This window comes from Homo sapiens, chromosome Y (assembly GCF_000001405.40).
Source record: "Homo sapiens chromosome Y, GRCh38.p14 Primary Assembly".
Taxonomy (NCBI): domain Eukaryota; kingdom Metazoa; phylum Chordata; class Mammalia; order Primates; family Hominidae; genus Homo; species Homo sapiens.
Genome location: NC_000024.10, coordinates 2,550,417 through 2,569,389, shown reverse-complemented (window position 1 = coordinate 2,569,389; position 18,973 = coordinate 2,550,417). Strand labels below are relative to the sequence as shown.

The following is an 18,973-nucleotide window of genomic DNA, read 5'->3' as shown; positions in this document are numbered from 1 at the left end:
AAGCTCCAGACAGGTCTTCTCAGGCTCCAGCACCCCAGATGCTTGTGTCTTGACTTCCATTTGGTTCTACCATATGCAGAATAAAGGCAATCTATAAATGGAAAAATGCAGCCAGGCGCAGTGGCTTAGGCCTGTAATCCCAGCACTTTGGGAGGCCGAGACAGGCAGATCATGAGGTCAGGAGATCGAGACCAGCCTGGCTAACACGGTGAAACCCCGTCTCTACTAAAAATACAAATAATTAGCCAGGCGTGGTGGCGGGCACCTGTAGTCCCAGCTACTCGGGAGGCTGAGGCAGGAGAATCGCTTGAACCTGGGAGGCAGAGCTTGCAGTGAGCTGAGGTCGAGCTACTGCACTCCAGCCTGGGCGACAGAGCGAGACTCCATCTCAAAAAAAAAGGAAAAATGCTAGTTATGCAGGTACTTGTTAGGGTCTCCTGCCCACCCCCCAACCCCGCACCCTTTGTAATCTAAACTCTTCTGTTTACTGGACTTCACTACTTTCCTCCTGATGTCCTCTTTCTGTCCCAGGATCTCCTCCAGAACCCACATTACATTGAGTCATGCCTCCTCTTGGCTGTGACAGTTTCTGAGACTTGCCTTGTTTTTCATGACCTCGAAGCAAGGTCTTGTACATGACTCTTGTATGGGTTTATTTATTAAAAAGATATTTATTTGGCTCACAGTTCTGCAGACTGTTCAAGAGTCAAATACAAGACCTTACTTCAAGGTCATCCAAAGCAAGGCCTGCAGACCATACAAGGGCCCCTTGCCACAAATGGCACTTGGATGTGGCTTGTGTATTAGTCCATTTTGTATTGCTATAGAGGAGTAACTGAGCTGAGTGATTTATAAAGAAAAGAGGTTTATTTGGCTCACGGTGCTGCAGACTATACGAGAAACACTGTCTTGAGGACAACGGGTCAGGTATTTTGTCAAGCTGTCCCTCTGTTGGGATTTGTCTGCAACTTTTCTCATGGTGAGACTAGGGTGGTTGGCTTTGGAGAGGATGACGGCAGCGATGAAGAGTCATTCTTATTACATCATATCAAGGTACATACTGTCAGCCTGACCTACCATTGTTGACTTTGGCCTTGATCACGTCTGAGGTGGTGTTTGTCAGATTTCTCCACTGAAAAGTTATTGATCTCCTGACCATGCTCTTTGAAAGGAAGTCTCTACATGCAACCCACACTTAAAGGAGTGGGGAGTTATGTTTCATCTTCTTGAGAATAAAATATCTACATCAATTACTTGGATGGGACTCTTCTGCACAGGGGATTTGTATCTCCTCCTTCATTTATGTTTTTATTCAATAATTGATTGCTTTGGGTTGCCATCTAATATTATTTTATTTTATTGCCCAAATTGTTTCAGCTTTGAGCACCAGGAGCTCTTTCATGTTGGCTTTTGCTTATCTTTCACGCACCCCCATTTTTTTGTGTATTTGAGCATTTTCTTATTTTCTTGTACTACAAGATGGTCCAGGCCTATCTGTATCACCCAAGCTCCGTTCTTAGAATTAACCATTATTCCAGAGAGCCCTGGTTCTTTTTTTTGAACATGATACTAGGAACCAAAGTGCTGGGTGAAATGACTTCTCAGTAGCATTAAAGAGATGTACTGGCTGGATGCCGTGGCTCATGCCTGTCAGCACAGCACTTCGGGAGGCTGAGGTGGAAGGATTACTTGAGTGCAAGAGTTCAAGACCAGCCTGGGAAACTTAATGAGACAAAAAAAAAAAAAATTAAAAATTATCTGCTTGGTGGCACACACTTGTAGCGTTAACCACTCAGGAGACTGAGATAAAAGAATTGCTTAAGCCCAGGCGTTTAAGATGACAGTCAGCTATGGTTGCGCCAGTGTGCTCCAGCCTAAGCAACAGAGCCAGGCCCCATCTCTAAAAAAGATTAAAAAGTGCAAGGGTTTGAGATTACAGTCAGCTGTGATTGCACCTCTGCACTCCAGCTTGGGTAACAGAGCCAGACCCCGTCTCTAAAGAGAGCAGGAGGCGGCGGTGGGGGGTAACCCTTCATCAGATTACCATTGATTTTTTTTTTCTTACTCTTTTTTTTCCTTCTCTTTGCATCTGCTTAGGGCCCCTAAAGTGATGGAGTGGCTGTGGAGTCTTCAGTTTGCCTGCATGCCAGGTGCAAGCCAAGGAGTTGTAAGAGCATCCCCCTCATAAGCTACCAGTAGGCCAGGACTCCAGTGTGGAGGGATGGATCTCTGAAGGTCACAGCTTGGCCCTTCTCTGAAGAACGTCCACCAGCATGTCAGCCCAGCTGCACTGCAGGAGTGAAGGGTGAGATGACTGTCAATAAGGATAAAGGCCATCTTCCCCACCCGTCACTCATCCTGCCAAGCCATCACTGGGTAACCAGGACTCATGGGCAGTGTCACCTCTGGGGCCATGCTGGCATCTGTAACCTCCATCCATCCTTGTGGTCCCATCCAGCCATCTCTGCCCCCTTGCCTGGCCCATTCTGTTGTGAAGTTTTCGTCCACCTTGCTCTTGTGCAGAGTCGGAATTCACAGGGGTTCCAATGCCCAAGGGAAGCCCATTGGAACTGTTTACTCTTATTACTGGCTAGAGACGTCCACAGGACAAATCAGCTTCAGATTATACCATCGTTAGAGTAGGTGCAACTGGGGGGCTTGCCCTACTTAACTCTCCAATGCAATCCATGCTGCCAGCTTCATACAGACTCCATCCAGTGCAAATGGCTTCCTTCTGTGTGCAGAGCAAATGCTCCAGGGAAGAGATACAGAGGATTCCCCATCATCATTGTTGCCAAGTGACCCCAAATATTCCTATCCTGTCTGTTGTAAAAAGGAAAAATCATGTCTTGGAAGAACAGCATCGCCCTACAGATACAGACTAGGCACTTTGCACATGAAACAAGAGTCCCAGAAATTTCTAGAAGCAAATCTCGCATTCGTGACCGCCAGACCTACGGGATGTGTAAGGCACATTCTCAATCTCATCACTTGTGAGAGTTGCATTGCCTAGTCCAGCAGCCGTGAAGGACTCTCTGCTGTTTTTCCTCTGCTTCATTTGACACATGAGAGAGAAGAGATGAAGATGGAGGCGGGCCCTGCCCCGGGGACATGTATATCTCTCTGAATGTCCTTGACAGACAGCAGCAGCCCAGCAATGCCCAGCCCCCATCCTGTCTGTATGCACCCTGGTGAGCATTTTCTACAGTCTCCTAAACGCTCCCATTATTCTGTTTTGCAGGTGTGATGTGTGGCACCTCAGTGTTGTCATAGCTTCTGCCTCCTCCGTGTGGAGAGAGGGCATAAAGACAGAGCTGAGATATTATGGCTATTCCAGAAAATAAAATATTTTTTGAAACCACATGGCTCAGGTGCACCTCTTTGTGTCATTGTGAAAACAGAACCCTAGCCTGTATACCGTTAGCTTGGTAGCACTTGGATAACAGACAGAGTATTCACTGGCCCTGCAGAGGAGCATGGGTGGAAACGAATTTATCGGCTGATGTTGGCACAGTTTGCTGTTGGTGCATTACTATTATTATTACTATTATTATTATTGTTAGACGGAGTCTCACTCTGTCGTCCAGGCTGGAGTACAGTGGCACGATCTCCGCTCACCACAACCTCCGCCTCCCGGGTTCAAGCAATTCTCCTGCCTCAGCCTCCCAAGTAGCTGGGATTACAGGTGCCCACCACCACGCCTGGCTAATTTTTTGTATTTTTAGTAGAGATAGGGTTTCACCATGTTGGTCAGGCTGGTCTCGAACTCCTGACCTCAGCTGATCTGCCTGCCTCGGCCTCCCAAAGTGCTGGGATGACAGGAGTGAGCCACCGCGCCCGGCCTCTCGGTGCATTCTATAGAATGAGATGCCTCTCACGTGGTCTCCTTAGCTGTGGGAAGGGATGCTTTCTATTAAAACAACAACAACAAAAAGCGGCTGGCAAAGCTCGCATGATGATTTTAACAATTGAGCTATTCTATAGTCATTTTCCTAAAGGAGGTCTGGGTTCTCTGTGTCTCGGAAAAACTCAGGAAGGCTCCTCACCCTCTGCACAGGGGAACACAGCACTCCACCCTCGCTGGTCTCAGCTTTCACTGGGCAGGCGCTCGACGTGCCAGTCAGACCACTAGGCAGAAAAAACTGCTGTAAGATTCACACAAGTACCTCACCGACCCCAGAACAGGGTCAAAAGCTAAGAAACAAAGTTTGAAAAGGCATATTTCATAAGTACAATTTTAATTGTATTTATGATTTAAAAAGAACATGTTTTTCTTTTTCTTTTTTTTTTTGAGTCAGAGTCTCGCTCTGTCGCCCAGGCTGGAGTGCAGTGGCGCGATCTCGGCTCACTGCAACCTCCACCTCCTTGGGTTCAGGTGATTCTCTTGCCTCAGCCTCCTGAGTAGCTGGGATTACAGGCTTACGCCACCATACCTGTCTAATTTTGTATTTTTTTTTTTTTTAGTAGAGACGGGGTTTCAGCATGTTGGCCAGGTTGGTCTCGAACTCCTGACCTCAGGTAATCTGCCCACCTCGGCCTCCCGAAGTGCTGGGATGACAGGCGTGAGCCACCGCATCCCATCAACTCATGTCTTAATACACGTATTTTATTATTAGCCCCAAGAAGGAAAATGTGGCAGACACATGGCTAAGGGTTAGTTTTCATATCTACATGGCTAACAAGATGGCTGGGTGTTTGAGGGAGCTGTGAGGAGGGTACATTCCTCTGGGAAGGGACCTTTATAATCTTGGGGTGACAGATGGCATAAGATAATTTTTGTTCATCTAAGAGAATGTGGGAAGATCATCAAGAAATGGCTGAGACTCGGTGCAGTGGCTCATGCCTATAATACCAACACTTTGGGAGGCCATGGAGGGAGGATTCTTCGAGCCCAGGAATTCAAGACCAGCCTGGGCAACATAGTGAAACCCCATCTCTACCAAAAATTTAAAAAATTGCCCAGCGCAGTGGCTCATGCCTGTCATCCCAGCAGTTTGGGAGGCCTAGGCGGGTGGATTGCCTGAGGTCAGGAGTTCAAGACCAGCCTGGCCAACATGGAGAAACCCCATCTCTACTAAAAATATAAAAATTTGCCAGGTGTGGTGGCAGACGTCTGTAATCCCAGCTACTCAGGAGGCTGAGGCAGGAGAATCGCTTGAACTGGGGAGGCGGAGGTTGCAGTGAGCTGAGATCACGCCACTGCACTCCAACCTGGGCAACAGAGCGAGACTGCATCTCAAAAAAAAAAAAAAAAATTAAAAAAATTAGCCAGGCATGGTGGTGTGCACCTGTAGTCCCAGTAACGCAGGAGGCCAAGGTGGGAGGATTACTTTAGCCTGGGAGGTCAAGGCTGCAGTGAACTATGATTGCAACACACACTGCACTGCAGCCTGGGTGACAAAATTTTAAAAAAAGGAAATAAAAGTGGCGGGCTTGGTGGTAGTATGGGGGCCCAAGCATTGGTGGGGAGAGCACTAGAGGAAGGCAGAGCTTCCCGACGGGTTGACGGAGCATTGTCATAAGACACAGGCAGACTCATGGGTGCGTACCCTACATTCAACATTGTGTACAGACTTGATCTCTCTACTGCTTGTCCTTAGGTATAAAAGAAGGGGAGAAGCCCCTCTTAATGGAAGGAGTCAGGGTCCCCCCAGTACGAAGGTCTGGACAAAGAACATAGTCTGGATCTAGAATCAGGTTGCTTTGGCTTAAAGCCCAGTTTGGGCATACAATTGTAACACAACCTGAGCCAATTCCTTAACCTTTGCCTACCTAAGGTGCCCCAGTTTGAAAAACAATGATAACGATAATATAATGCCTACCACAACACAGTATTTCTACATGCATATCACACAGAAATATGTTAATACGGACCGGGCGCGGTGGCTCACACTTGTAATCCCAGAACTTTCGGAGGCTGAGGCGGGCAGATCACTTGAGATCAGGGGTTTGAGACCAGCGTGGCCAACATGGTGAAACCTCATCTCTACTAAAAATACGACAACAACAAAAAATGTAGCCAGGCATGGTGGCACACGCCTGTAATCCCAGCTACTTGGGAGGCTGAGGCAGGAGAATCTCTTGAACCCGGGAGGCAGAGGTTTCAGTGAGCCGAGGTCGTGCCATTGCACTCCAGCCTGGGCAACAGATTGAGACTCTGTCTTAAAAATAATAATAATAATAAAGAAATATATTAATACATGCAGAATTTGTTTAAAATTTTCTAGCACAGTATAAGCCCAGGATACTCACAGCCATTACTGTTACCATTATTCTGAATATTTTAAATTCACCAAAGAACAAAATGAGAAAAAGTAGATGTGTGTGAACTTAAGTGTGAATCGTGTTGAATTAAGTGGGCAGGATTCTGTAATTAAGCCACAGCTGCAACTTCATCCTTGAATACTAGCTAACAAGATAAGAATTGACACTCCTCTTTAAAAAGTTTATTTTCTTTTTTGAAAAGGGCCTTGAACTTTCTCTAAAACTCTGAATGGCAAAGGTATTTCCTTTTCATTAAAAAGATTCTGTTGAAGATTGAAGTTGTGTTTTTGGCAGCAGCTGTGAAAAGATGGTGTGATGGTTAATACTGAGTGTCAACTTGATTAGATTGAACGATGCAAAGTATTGATCCTGAGTGTGTCTGTGAGGGTGTTGCCAAGGGAGATTAACATTTGAGTCCGTGGGCTGGGAAAGGCAAACCCCGCACCCCGCTTCATCAGCGTGTGCACCATCTCATCAGCAACCAATTTGGCTAGAATATAAGCAGGCAGAAAAATGTGCAGAGAGACTGGCCTAGCCTCCCAGACTGCATCTTTCTCCCGTGCTGGATGCTTCCTGCCCTTGAACATTGGACTCCAGGTTCTTCAGTTATCAGACTGGCTTCCTTGCTGCTCAGCCTGCAGACAGCTTATTGTGTGACCTTGTAATCGTGTGAGTTAATATATAATAAACTCCCCTTTATGTATGTATATATATATATATATAGAGAGAGAGAGAGAGAGAATATATACATATATTCTGTACAGACGGGAAGACAGGTGTATTTGAGATTGACCTGAAAACTCCGAATATGAATGAAAACCGGGCACATTTAAAAAGAAAAGTCATGCATGGGTTATCAGGGGTTTGCTGAAACCCCTATCGTGTCTATGAGCAGCTCTGATGAGACACACTGATTTGGGTATCTCAGATGTACTAAGTATACTGGCTACAGTGGACTCAGCACCCTTCCTATAATTTGCAGATATGATCATAGCAAAAAGAAATTGTTAATGTAATTATTGTTAATAGCTGTTTCATGCCCTATTGGGAGTTTGGAGAAAATGTTTAAAATTAAGTATTTTTGGATAATACTTTTATTTATTTATTTATTTATTTATTTATTATTTTGAGACAAGGTCAGACTCTGTCACCCACGCTGGAATGACATCATAGCTCACTTCATTGTTGACCTCCTGGGCTCAAGCAATCCTCCCACGTCAGCCTCCTGAGTAGCTGGGACTACAGGCACATACCTCCGTGACTGGCTAATTTTTTAAAGATATTTTGAGAGATGGGGTCTTGCTATGTTGCCCAAGCTGGTTTCAAACTTCGGGGCTCAAGTGATCCTCCCACCTCAGCCTCCCAAAGTGCTGGGATTGCAGGTGTAAGCCACCGCACCCAGCTGAGAAAACTTAGAGTGTTGTGAAAAAATAGAAGGGCACCATGGGAACGTGCGCCCTGCTTACTCTGGAAATGAGGAAGTAGAGAGCTCCATTTCCTACCGTCAATTCTAAGAGAGTAAAACAAGGCATCGATCTGGCATAAGCGCTTTCACAGAGCACAGTGTCTGTGGCAACATCATGTTGTAACATGATGTTAAATACAAATGTGTCATTGCAGGCCAGTCATGGTGGCTCACACCTGTCATCCTAGCACTTTGGGAGGCTGAGGCAGGCAGATCACCTGAGGTCAGGGGTTTGAGACCATCCTGGCCAACATGGTGAAACCCCGTCTCTACTAAAAATACAAAAATTAGCAGGGCATGGTGGCAGGTGCCTGTAATCCCAGCTACTCGGGAGGCTGAGGCAAGAGAATCGCTTGAACCCAGGAGGCAGAGGCTGCAGTGAGCCGAGATGGTGCCACTGCACTGCAGCCTGGGTGACAGAGTGAGACTTGTCTCAAAAAAAAAAAAAAAGTATATATATATATATACACATACACACACAAACAAACACACACACACATATAGTGATTGCCACAGTGTAAGAGTCAGTGTTCCCAGGATAAATATAATTTCATTTAATCATCAGCAAGCCTGTGAACCTGCTTGGTAATAACCCCTACCCCTATTCTCACTTGCATTTGGATTTGTTTCATTCATTGGCTGAATGGAGACAGCTTATTTTTCTTCCTGCGTGTTATACAGGGTTATTCATCTTCCACATTGTGGTTGACACCCCTGTGTTTTTATGACATGTCTTATTCCAGATAACTTTGGACTCCTGTTTCTTTTATTGGAAGAGATGTAAATTCAAAAGTAAGGTCACTTACTTTTAAGCGATACACAAATGGACAGGGTTTGCGGTCGGGAAATGACTGACCTCATTTTTTTGAGCCACGGAAGAGGACTGTCCTGAAGCACATTTGAAGAGGCACATTTAATGATCACTCTCTGAATTGTAGTAGCATCCCTTTAGCTCTCCCTACGCCACTGAGACCCAGATTTTCTCACGTCATTCTCGCAGCCATCCTGTCCTCTGCTTTAAAGATGTGACGGGGAGCAGAGAAGTTGAGTTACATGAACAAGGTAACACAGCTGGTCCCTGAGGCTGCTGAGAACAGCACACCTGCTTAGAACTACTGTATGAGACCACCCATTTTGCACCCCCTGGGACCACCAATCGACATGAAAGGTGGAGAGGAGTTGGCATTAAGCCATGAAGTTGAGAATCTTCCATCTGTCCATCCAACCATCTATGCGATTATTTATCTATCCATACATATATTCATCTATTTTTCCATCTGTAATCCATCCAACCAAGTATCTATCCAACTATCTATGCATCCATTCACCCATGCAGTCTGTCCATCTATCATCCCTTTATCTCTCCATATAACCATCTATCCAACTATCTATCCGCCCATTCGTCCAATCAACTATCCAACTATTTATCTGCCCATCATCCATCTACCCATTTATCAGCCCATCCATCATCCATATATCCATCCATTCATCTCTCCCTATAACCATCTATTCAACTATCTATCCATCCATTCATTCAATCAACTAACCAATTATGTATCTACCCATTCATCCATCCACCCATCCATCTGTCCATCCATCATCCATATATACATCCATCCATCTCTCTATATAACATCTATCTGACTATCTATCCATCCATTCATCCAATCAACTATCCAACTACCTAGCTACCCACTTATCCATTTACCCATCTATCTGTCCATCCATTAATCCACCTAATAATTCATCCATCTATGCACCCAACTTTCTATCCAGTTATCCATTCATCCACTTACCCCGCCCATCCATCCATCTATTTGTCTATCTACCTATTACTTTCTGAGACCAAATGTTGGGACCCATATATATGCAGGCCTACTCCAATATCTGGCACAGTCTAGGTCATTAATATTCATTAAATGAATGCAAGCACCCATGAATGAATGAATTGACTTTGTCTGGATCATCCTAGAGAATCTTTGCAGGGATATTCCATTCTTGCCATGGAATAAATTCAAGGAAAGAGAACAATTGGTTGGAGGAAGCCTGAGTTCCCCATTTCATTGGGAGAATTGCATTCCCCTGGAGACAGAGCCAAACTCATGATGCAAAAAGATCATAAAACACATTCTGTGAAATCTACATGAACCTCTTTACAGTTTCCTCTGCTTAACTATTCGTTCCAGCCAGAGGGGAAAAAAACAATTAGATTCCAAAGAGTTTTCATGACTTTATATATTAAACGTTGGCCATGTGTAATTGCAAAATGGATGCAAAAGCTATGGTTCATAAATAACACTAAAAAGAGGCACTGTATTCTCCTGATGGTTCAGGAAATTGGAAACGACAGGTTGCAATACTGAGTATTACTCACTGTTTAATCTCAGTCTAGTTTCCAACAATTGCAACACACTCTACACCAGAAATTTGGAAAATAAAGGAATAATGTTTATACTGTAGTGTTGACAAATGTTTGGATGGGTCTGGAGTACTTTATATGCTAACTATTGCTCATTACATGGTCCCTGGAAGATCTCATGTAATTTTTTAAAGAAATAAAATAGATCTTAATATTAATATCTTTGATTTTAGAATGTCCACCTTAATGCATTTTTTGCCAGTGCCAGTAAGTTTAAATAGCCAATTACCCTGGGTGAAATTAATCATTTCATACCACTGAGACAGAAGGATGTTGAAAAGATGGTAAAGGGTGACATTTTAGCATCTAGATGCTAGATAATTTCAGCATCACTTATTATCATCAGCAAGCACTGACCTTCAGACTTTTCTTTTTAAACCTGAGCCCCCAAGCCCTCTGGGCAAATGCACTTTTCTCAACAAAGAATGGAGCTACCCTCTCTTATCCTCCAGAGAAGTGCATGGGGAGCTCCCACACACCAACTTTGTCTCTACGAACAACGAGTTCTAAAGGCATCAACTTAGCAAGACTCCCTTTTTTGTTTCTTTCTTGGTTTTGGAAATGGTCCCTCTGTGTAGCCCAGGCTGGAGTGTAGTGGCACAATCGCAGCTCACTGCGGACTCAACCTGCTGGGCTCCAGCGATGCTTTCATCTCAGCCACCAAGCCTGGGGGCTCAGCAAAGTTTTCTTTTCTTTTCTTCTTTTTTTCTTTTCTTTTCTTTCTTTCTTTTCTTTCTTCCTTTCTTTTTTTTTCTCTCTCTCTCTCCTTCCTTTCCTTCCTTCCTTCTTTCTCTCTCTCTTTCTTTCTCTCTTTCTCTCTTCCTTTCTTTCTTTTTTTGAGACAGGGTTTTGCCATGTTGTCCAGGCTGGTCTTTAACTCCTGGGCTCAAGCAATCCTCCTGTCTCAGCCTCCCATAGTGTTGGGATTACAGGCATGAGCCACCGTGCCCAGCCAAGACTCCTTTGTCCCTGGGCGACAAGAGCCATTTCTGCTTCAGGGACCAACCTCACATCAGCAGTAGAGGAAGATGCTACCACAGAACATGAATCCAGCCAGGTAGCCATCATTTTAGTTGTTTCTACTAGTACTGATGCATTTGAGTTGATCCATCTGGGGCATTTACTTTGTTTTTCTTGTGATAAATTGCCTGGACCCATGCAATTCCTGCTAAGGGTCAAGAAAGTGGCCATCCCAAGTTCCATGCCTACCTACTGAGTTTAAGCCAACCCAGGGACCCCTAGGTTGCACTCTGCTACCATTTCTAGCCCAGGTCGTTTTCTGTAGTGAGTTTATGCAGGGCATCACCTATATACATAAACCTATATACACCTGTGTTGTAAAACCTCAAGACACAATATATGGTCCATGGATGAGCAGTATCACCATTGCCCAGGACTTAGACACATAGAATGTGAAGCCCCACCCAGATCCACTGAAACAGAATCTGCCTTGTAGCAGAACCCCAAGAAATTCACACACATGATAGACTAGGAATCACCATGTACCTGAGAGGACAAAACAAAATTAGGTAAAAGCATGCTGCTTTCCTGTGAAGATATCCATGCAGACTTTTTAAGGACAACCAAAACCCATCATTATCTTCTCTGCCCAAGACCACTTTGGGAATTTTGGAGAAGAAAGAATAAAGGCAGAAATGAGGATACAGAAAGCATGTCACTTGAAGATCAAGAAGTCAAGCTTGGATGCCAATGGTAAAGTGGTAAGCCTACTGGTTTTGATCTTGGGCATGGAATGAGTTTGCCAGACCTCAACTCTGAAGACGGCTCTAGAAGGACCTAGACTTGCTACAGAAGGAGTATTCCAAGTAGAATGAGAAGTTTGGGTAATGTATGCCACAAGACATTGGTCATTTGCAGAGTGGAGATAATCATTAAGTACTTGGCTCTCAACTACCCTTGATTATCCCAACTAGTCAGGAACTCAGCTACCAGTGATATGGAAATTTCCAACCCTAACCCCAATGGCAGCTGCATGTTTAAATCCAGTAGACAGGTGTTGTAAACGCTTTCCCTCACCAAGTACAACCTGAGTCTTCCATCCTAGACTGAATGCATTACCTAATCTGCAATACTTTGTATTCGTAATTACGTTTATGCCTGACACAGGAGTAGGTAAGATCAGAGGCTTGATTTTGTGGCTGGAATGTAAATTAAGTAGTCATTGAGCCTGTTGGAGAAAAAAACATCTAATTTGGAAGTAATGAGTGTGATGAATGAACACAGCTGTAGAGAGTCGATTCTAGGTGAGTATGGGGTTGGCTTGGTTACTTTGCTATGGAGCCTTGGAAGTTCTGTTTTTTTGGCTTGCAGATTTATAGAAGTTCTAGTCTAAGATGCAATGTGGGAAATATAATTTCATGTCATGACTGACATTGGCCTCCCATGAGTTAGAGAAACGTGTGTTTAAAGGGATAATCTGATTTTGGAAAATAATATTCAAATGCCATCATGTTTTCATGTTGATCCCTCTCCACACTGGCTCAGCGGTCTCTTAGTAAAAACAATTTCCTGCCGAGCACAGTGGCTGACGACTGTAATCCCAGCACTTTGGGAGGCTTAGGTGGGCGGATCACCTGAGGTTGGGAGTTCGAGATCAGACTGGCCAACATGGAGAAACCCCATCTCTACTAAAAATACAAAAATTAGCCGGGTATGGTGGTGCATGCCTGTAATCCCAGCTACTCAGGAGGCTGAGGCAGGAGAGTCACTTGAACCCTGGAGGTGGGGGCTGTGGTGAGCCAAGATCGCGCCATTGCACTCCAGCCTGGGTGACAAGAGCGAAACTCCATCTAAAAAAAAAAAAATCAATTTCCTGCTGATATTAATGATGTTAAGCCATTAAAATACATGTAAAGGTGAAAGACTGGTAACTGTGATTTGAAAATGGAAAGACATTGACAGCTAGACAGATCAAAATAAAGGCTTTGCTTCAGAGAGCCAGAAGAGAAAGTTTTCTGACCCTTATCTTAATTTTGTCAAATCAGATATGTCTGGCTCATGGTTCCATAGCTTAAGGATGTTATGAAGCCATTTTGAGTGGCTGACTGTATTAGCCTGTTCCCGTTACTTGAATACCATAGATCTGATGTAGGATGGATTACCCCTACAATACAGATGTAGGACCCAAGGACCTAGAGGCAAGGTCCATTGTCCAGTGTAATGAGCTAACCAATGGTAGTTCTGGGACCACATACTTATGTCCCCTCACCCTAAACCCAATACTCTTTCCTCTTCTGGTAGAAAAAGTGATGGCCCCAGTGATGTCCATGTCCTCATCCGCATGTGGTAGACAACATAATGGCTCCAGAGATGTCAACATCCTAATCCTAATGTGGTAGACAGAATAATGACCCCCAAAATGTCCATGTCCTAATCTCCATGTAGTAGACAGGTGATGGCCCCAAAGATGTCCACGTCCTAATCCCCATGTGGTAGACAGAATAATGTCCCCCAAAGATGTCCACATTCTAATCCCCATGTGGTAGAAAGAATAATGTCCCCCAAAGAGGTCCACATTCTAATCCCCATGTGGTAGACAGAATAATGACACCCAAAGAGGTCCATGTCCTAATCCCCATGTGGGAGACAGAATAATGACCCCCAAAGATGTCCATGTCCTAATCCCCATGTGGGAGACAGAATAATGGCCCCAAAGATGTCCACATCCTAATCTCCATGTGATAGACAGAATAATGGCCCCAATGACGCCCACATCCTAATCCCTGAAATCTGTGAATATGTGACCTTATATGGCAAAAGTGACTTTGCAAAAGTGATTAAGGATTTTAAGATGAGAGGATTATCCTGGATCATAATGAGGGTATCTCAATGTCATCACAAGCACCCTTATACCGGAAAGAGGACGCACGAGGGTCAGAGTCAGACAAGGAGATGTGGGGATAGAAACAGAGGTCTGAGAGGAGGGAAATGTGCTGATGTCTTTAAGGTAGAGGAAGGGGCTACAAGCCAAGGCATGGCAAAACAGCCTCTACAAGCTTCAAAAGGAAAGGGAGTAGGTTCTGCTCTGGAGACTCCAGAAGGAATCAGCTCTGACAACAACTGGGTGTTAGCCCAGCAATACTAATTTCAGGCTTCTGAACTCCAGAATCAGAAGACACTACATTTCTGTTCTTTTAAAGCCACAAAATTGGTGGTGATTTGTTATGGCAACCGGAGAAGACAAAAATGCACATCTTTTACAAAATGACAGTGATGTGGTTTGGCTGTGTCCCCACCCAAATCTTAACTTGAATTCTATCTCCCAGAATTCCCACATGTTGTGGGAGGGACCCAGGGGCAGTAATTGAATCATGGGGGAATGGTCTTTCCCATGCTATTCTTGTGATAGTGAATACGCCTCACAAGATCTGATGGGTTTATCAGGGGTTTCGGCTTTTGCTTCTTCCTCACTTTTCTCTTGCCCCCGCCATGTAAGAAGTGCCTTTTGCCTCCCGCCATGATTCTGAGGCCTCCCCAGCCATGTGGAACTGTAAGTCCAATTAAACCTCTTTTTCTTCCCAGTCTCGAGTATGTCTTTATCAGCAGCATAAATACAGACTAATACAGGCAGTGTCAGAGGGTGTTTGAACCATAGCAACTCCATCTTGAATAGGGGCTGGGTAAAACAAGGCTGAGACCTACTGGGCTGTATTCTTGGGAGGTTAGGCATTCTAAGACACAGGATGAGATAGGAAGGCAACACAAGCTACAGGTCACAAAGACCTAGCTGATAAAACAGGTTGGAGTAAAGAAGCTGGCCAAACCCCACCAAAACCAAGATGGTGATGAGAGTGACCTCTGGTCATCCTCACTGCTACACTCCCACCAAGCACCACGACAGTTTACTAATGCCATGGCAACATCAGGAAATTACCCTCTATGGTCTAAAAACAGGAGGCATGAATAATTCACCTCTCGTTTAGCATATCATCAAGAAACAACCATAACAATGGCCCACCAGCAGCCTTCAGGGCTGCTCTGCATGTGGACTAGCCATTCTTTTATTCCTCTACTTTCTTTTCTTTGTTTGTTTTGAGACGGAGTCTCACTCTGTCACCAGGCTGGAGTGCAGTGGCCAGATCTCGGCTCACTGCAACCTCCGCCTCCAGGTTCAAGTGATTCTCCTGCCTCAGCTTCCCGAGTAGCTGGGATTACAGGTGCGCACCACCACGCCCAGCTACTTTTTGTATTTTTAGTAGAGACGGGGTTTCGCCATGTTGGCCAGGATGGTCTCTGTCTCTTGACCTCGTGATCTGCCCGCCTCAGCCTCCCAAAGTGCTGGGATTACCGGCGTGAGCCATCACACCAGCCAGTTTTTATCTCTTTAAGTGTCTTTATTTCCCCAGCATTTCTTAGGTCTGGCATCTCTGGAAACCTCAATGGCAGATTCTGAACTCATTCATAAAGAACCAGGACTTTGTCAACTTCCTGGAAAACACTGATGGTTTTCCTCAGTTACTTTATAATTAGGCATAAGCAGGTGTGCCACTCTTCCCTGTTAACTGGAACTGCACCTATGTCCTGACAAGTAAAATGATTCGAAAACTAATAATTGGAGTTTTGCCTTGGCTGAAGTCTAAAATCCTCAGAGTGTGCAGTCAGTTCTCAAATTTGTGCAGGTGTGGTGGCTCACACCTGTAATCCCAGCACTTTGGGAGGCCGAGGCGGGAGGATCACTTGAGGTCAGGAGTTTGAGACCATTCTGGCCAACATGGCGAAGCCTCATCCCTATTAAAAATACAAAAATTAGCCAGGAGTGTTGGTGGGCACCTGTAATCCCAGCTACTTGGGAGGCTGAGGCAGGAGAATTGCTTGAACCCAGGAGACGGAGGTTCCAGTGAGCCCAGATCGTGCCACAGCACTCCAGCTTGGGTGACAGAGCGAGACGCCATCTCAAAAAACAAAACAAAACAACTCAAAAAAAAGAAACGCACTTGTTGAGAAAACATGACAAACTCAGATAACACAGCACTTAGCATGTGAAAATTTTCACCCACACGTGCATGAAACATAAATCTTGTGTTTCCATGGAGGGTGCATGGCACATTTATACTGCACCATTCAACTTCCTTTGAAAAGGCATCCGACTCTTGTCCAAAGTTGTTGTAACTAGTAAATTTTATCTGACTGGGATTATTGAACAAATGCTTCAGTGACTTTCGGACTTTTAAGGTTCTAGTCCCTGGAATCCCATGTGATTGAAATGTTAATAACTGACTTTAGCAAAAACAGTTCTGTGGTTAAAGAATTTTGGGCACGCGGACCACAGTACCCACAGTATCTCTCCTGGGAGATTTAATTGCCCTTCAGCAAACAAAAGACTGAGAAATCTTGCTGAAAAGAACCGCTCAACTCTGAGAAGCTCAGTCTTTTCCACATTTTTTCCCCCTGAATTTAGAGCCTCTTTTTTTCCCCAGGCACTTTTATTAGCATTCCAAGACATTTGTGTTGGAAAGAATTGCCCAATATAGTTCAGAAAATATTTAGCTACACAATAGAGAGAAAGAAACATCTGGCAGTTCCCATGGAGGGATGTGTTGCGGAAGGCACTGTTGATGGTGGTGGTGAACGTGAGTGTTTTCTTCTAGGTTTCATCTTGGGTCATGCAGCTGACCCCATCTATAATTGCAGCTCGTGCTAAAAACACTCCTAGGCTGAGTGCTCCATACACTTGCATTTATTTATTTTTATTTTTTAAAGACAGAGTTCTGCTCTGTCACCCAGGCTAGAGTGCAGTGGTGCAATCACAGCTCACTGCAGCCTTGACCTGCTGGTCTCAAGCAATCCTCCTACCTCAGCCTCCCCAGTAGCTGGGAATACAGGTGCATCCTACCACATCCAGCTAATTTTTTTTTTTTCTTTTGTAGAGATGGGATCTCACCATGTTGCCCAGGCTGGTCTCCAACTCCTGGTCTCAAGGGATCCTAAACCTTGGCCTCCGAAAATGCTAGGATTACAGGTGGGAGCCACTGTGCCCGGCCGTACTTGTACTTTTATTTACAAAAGCCACATGAGACAGCTGTCAAGTAAATATGTTAAAATAGCTCATGGAACATGGTTTTTGTAACTTCCTGAAAGTTCTACACATTTCTAAAATATTTAAGCAAGTGATACTGGGCCAGGCTCGGTGGCTCACACCTGTAATCCCAGTACTTTGGGAGGCGGAGGGGGGCGGATCACCTGAGCTGAGGAGTTTGAGACCAGCCTGACCAACATGGTGAAACCCCATCTCTACTAAAATGCAAAAGTTAGCCAGACATGGTGGCAGGCGCCTGTAATCCCAGCTACTCAGGAGGCTAAGGCAGGAGAATCACTTCAACCCAGGAGGCGGAGGTTGCAGTGAGCTGACATGGTGCCAGTGCACTCCAGACTGGGGGACAGAGCCAGACTCCATCTGAAAAAAGAAAAAGAAAAAAAAAGTGATGCCGAAACATCTTTCTCTTTTTAAAGCATGATATTTACCATGCACTTAACAGTGAGTTCACGCAATTCATGTGACCCATATGTGTTGGAACCGTGGAAACACAATATGTTTTCTGATTTTATTTGTTTACAATATTGTACAGTCTCTCATTCCCTAAATAAAAATAAGTGCCTTAAAAAGAATCTTGCTGGCCAGGCGCAGTGGCTTACGCCTGTAATCCCAGCACTTTGGGAGGCCGAGGCGGGCAGATCACCTGAGGTTGGGAGTTCGAGACCAGCCCGACCAACATGAAGAAACCCCGTCTCTACTAAAAATACAAAATTAGCCGGGCGTGGTGGCACATGCCTGTAATCACAGCTACTTGGGAAGGCTGAGGCAGGAGAATCGCTTGAACCCGGGAGGCGGAGGTTGCCGTGAGCCGAGATCGCATCATTGCACTCCAGCCTGGGCAACACGAGCAAAACTCCATCTCAAAAAAAAAAAAAAAAAAATCTTGCTAGGTACTGTGGCTCACACCTGTAATCCGAGTACTTTGCAAGCAGAGGTAGGAGGATCACTGGAGCCCAGAATTTCAGCACCAGCCTGCGCAACATAGTGAGACCTCATCTCTACCAAAAAATACAAAAATTACCTAGGTGTGGTGGCACACACCTGTCATCCTAGCTACTTGGGAGGCTGAGGTGCGAGGATCACCTGAGCCTGTGAAGTCGAAGTTGCAGTGAGCCATGATCACACCACTGCATTCCAGGTCTCCAGCCTGGGTAACAGAGGGAGACCCAGCCACAAAAAAAAAAAAAATTTTTTTTGCACAAACTTTTACGATGACTCTGCTCTATAATTAAAAGTAATTTCTGCTTTGTTGGTGTTTTCTCACACATTTATCTGGTTGACCAGATATCTGCATATGATAGAGTAAGAATGACCCATTTCCCTCCAGGGAGAATAGCATTGCAAGGGGGTTGAGGATGCATGCGTGTGGAATCCAAACATTGAATGCACTGAGACGGTGCTGCATGAAGCCTGCCTGTGAGTTTATGATGAAGCTGCACATAGATTCCTACCTGGCTCTCACTCCTCTCTCTGACCCTTTGGCTTCGGTTTAATTGCATGCACATCCTTCAAAGCTGCTCGGGGCCACCACTTCTTCAGACTTCTGGCATTTTTCCAAGAAACACTAAACCTCTTTGCAATGGTCCCCCTGGATTTTGCGTGCATGTCTTCCAGCACTGGAGCTGCCTGACCTGTGCTTGCAAGGGTTCCGTAACACTGGATAGGACAGAAGCTCCGCCCAGCCCCACATGAGAGCTCTGTGCTCTTCAGGGACCATGTCCTATTCACACTGTCTCCCTCACATCTAATACAGTCATGATACTCGGCAATA

At 44.9% G+C, this 18,973-nt stretch overlaps 1 long non-coding RNA gene across 5 annotated transcripts in view; it reads left to right on the top strand.

Moving 5' to 3' along the window:
- LINC03112 (long intergenic non-protein coding RNA 3112) overlaps positions 1 to 3,361 on the top strand; it is a 43,212-nt gene extending 39,851 nt beyond the window's left edge. For all 5 annotated transcript variants that reach the window (XR_001756051.3, XR_001756049.2, XR_001756050.2 and 2 more), the window contains one exon: positions 2,098 to 3,361. This is a non-coding gene — a long non-coding RNA (long intergenic non-protein coding RNA 3112). The remainder of the gene's footprint in view (positions 1 to 2,097) is intronic.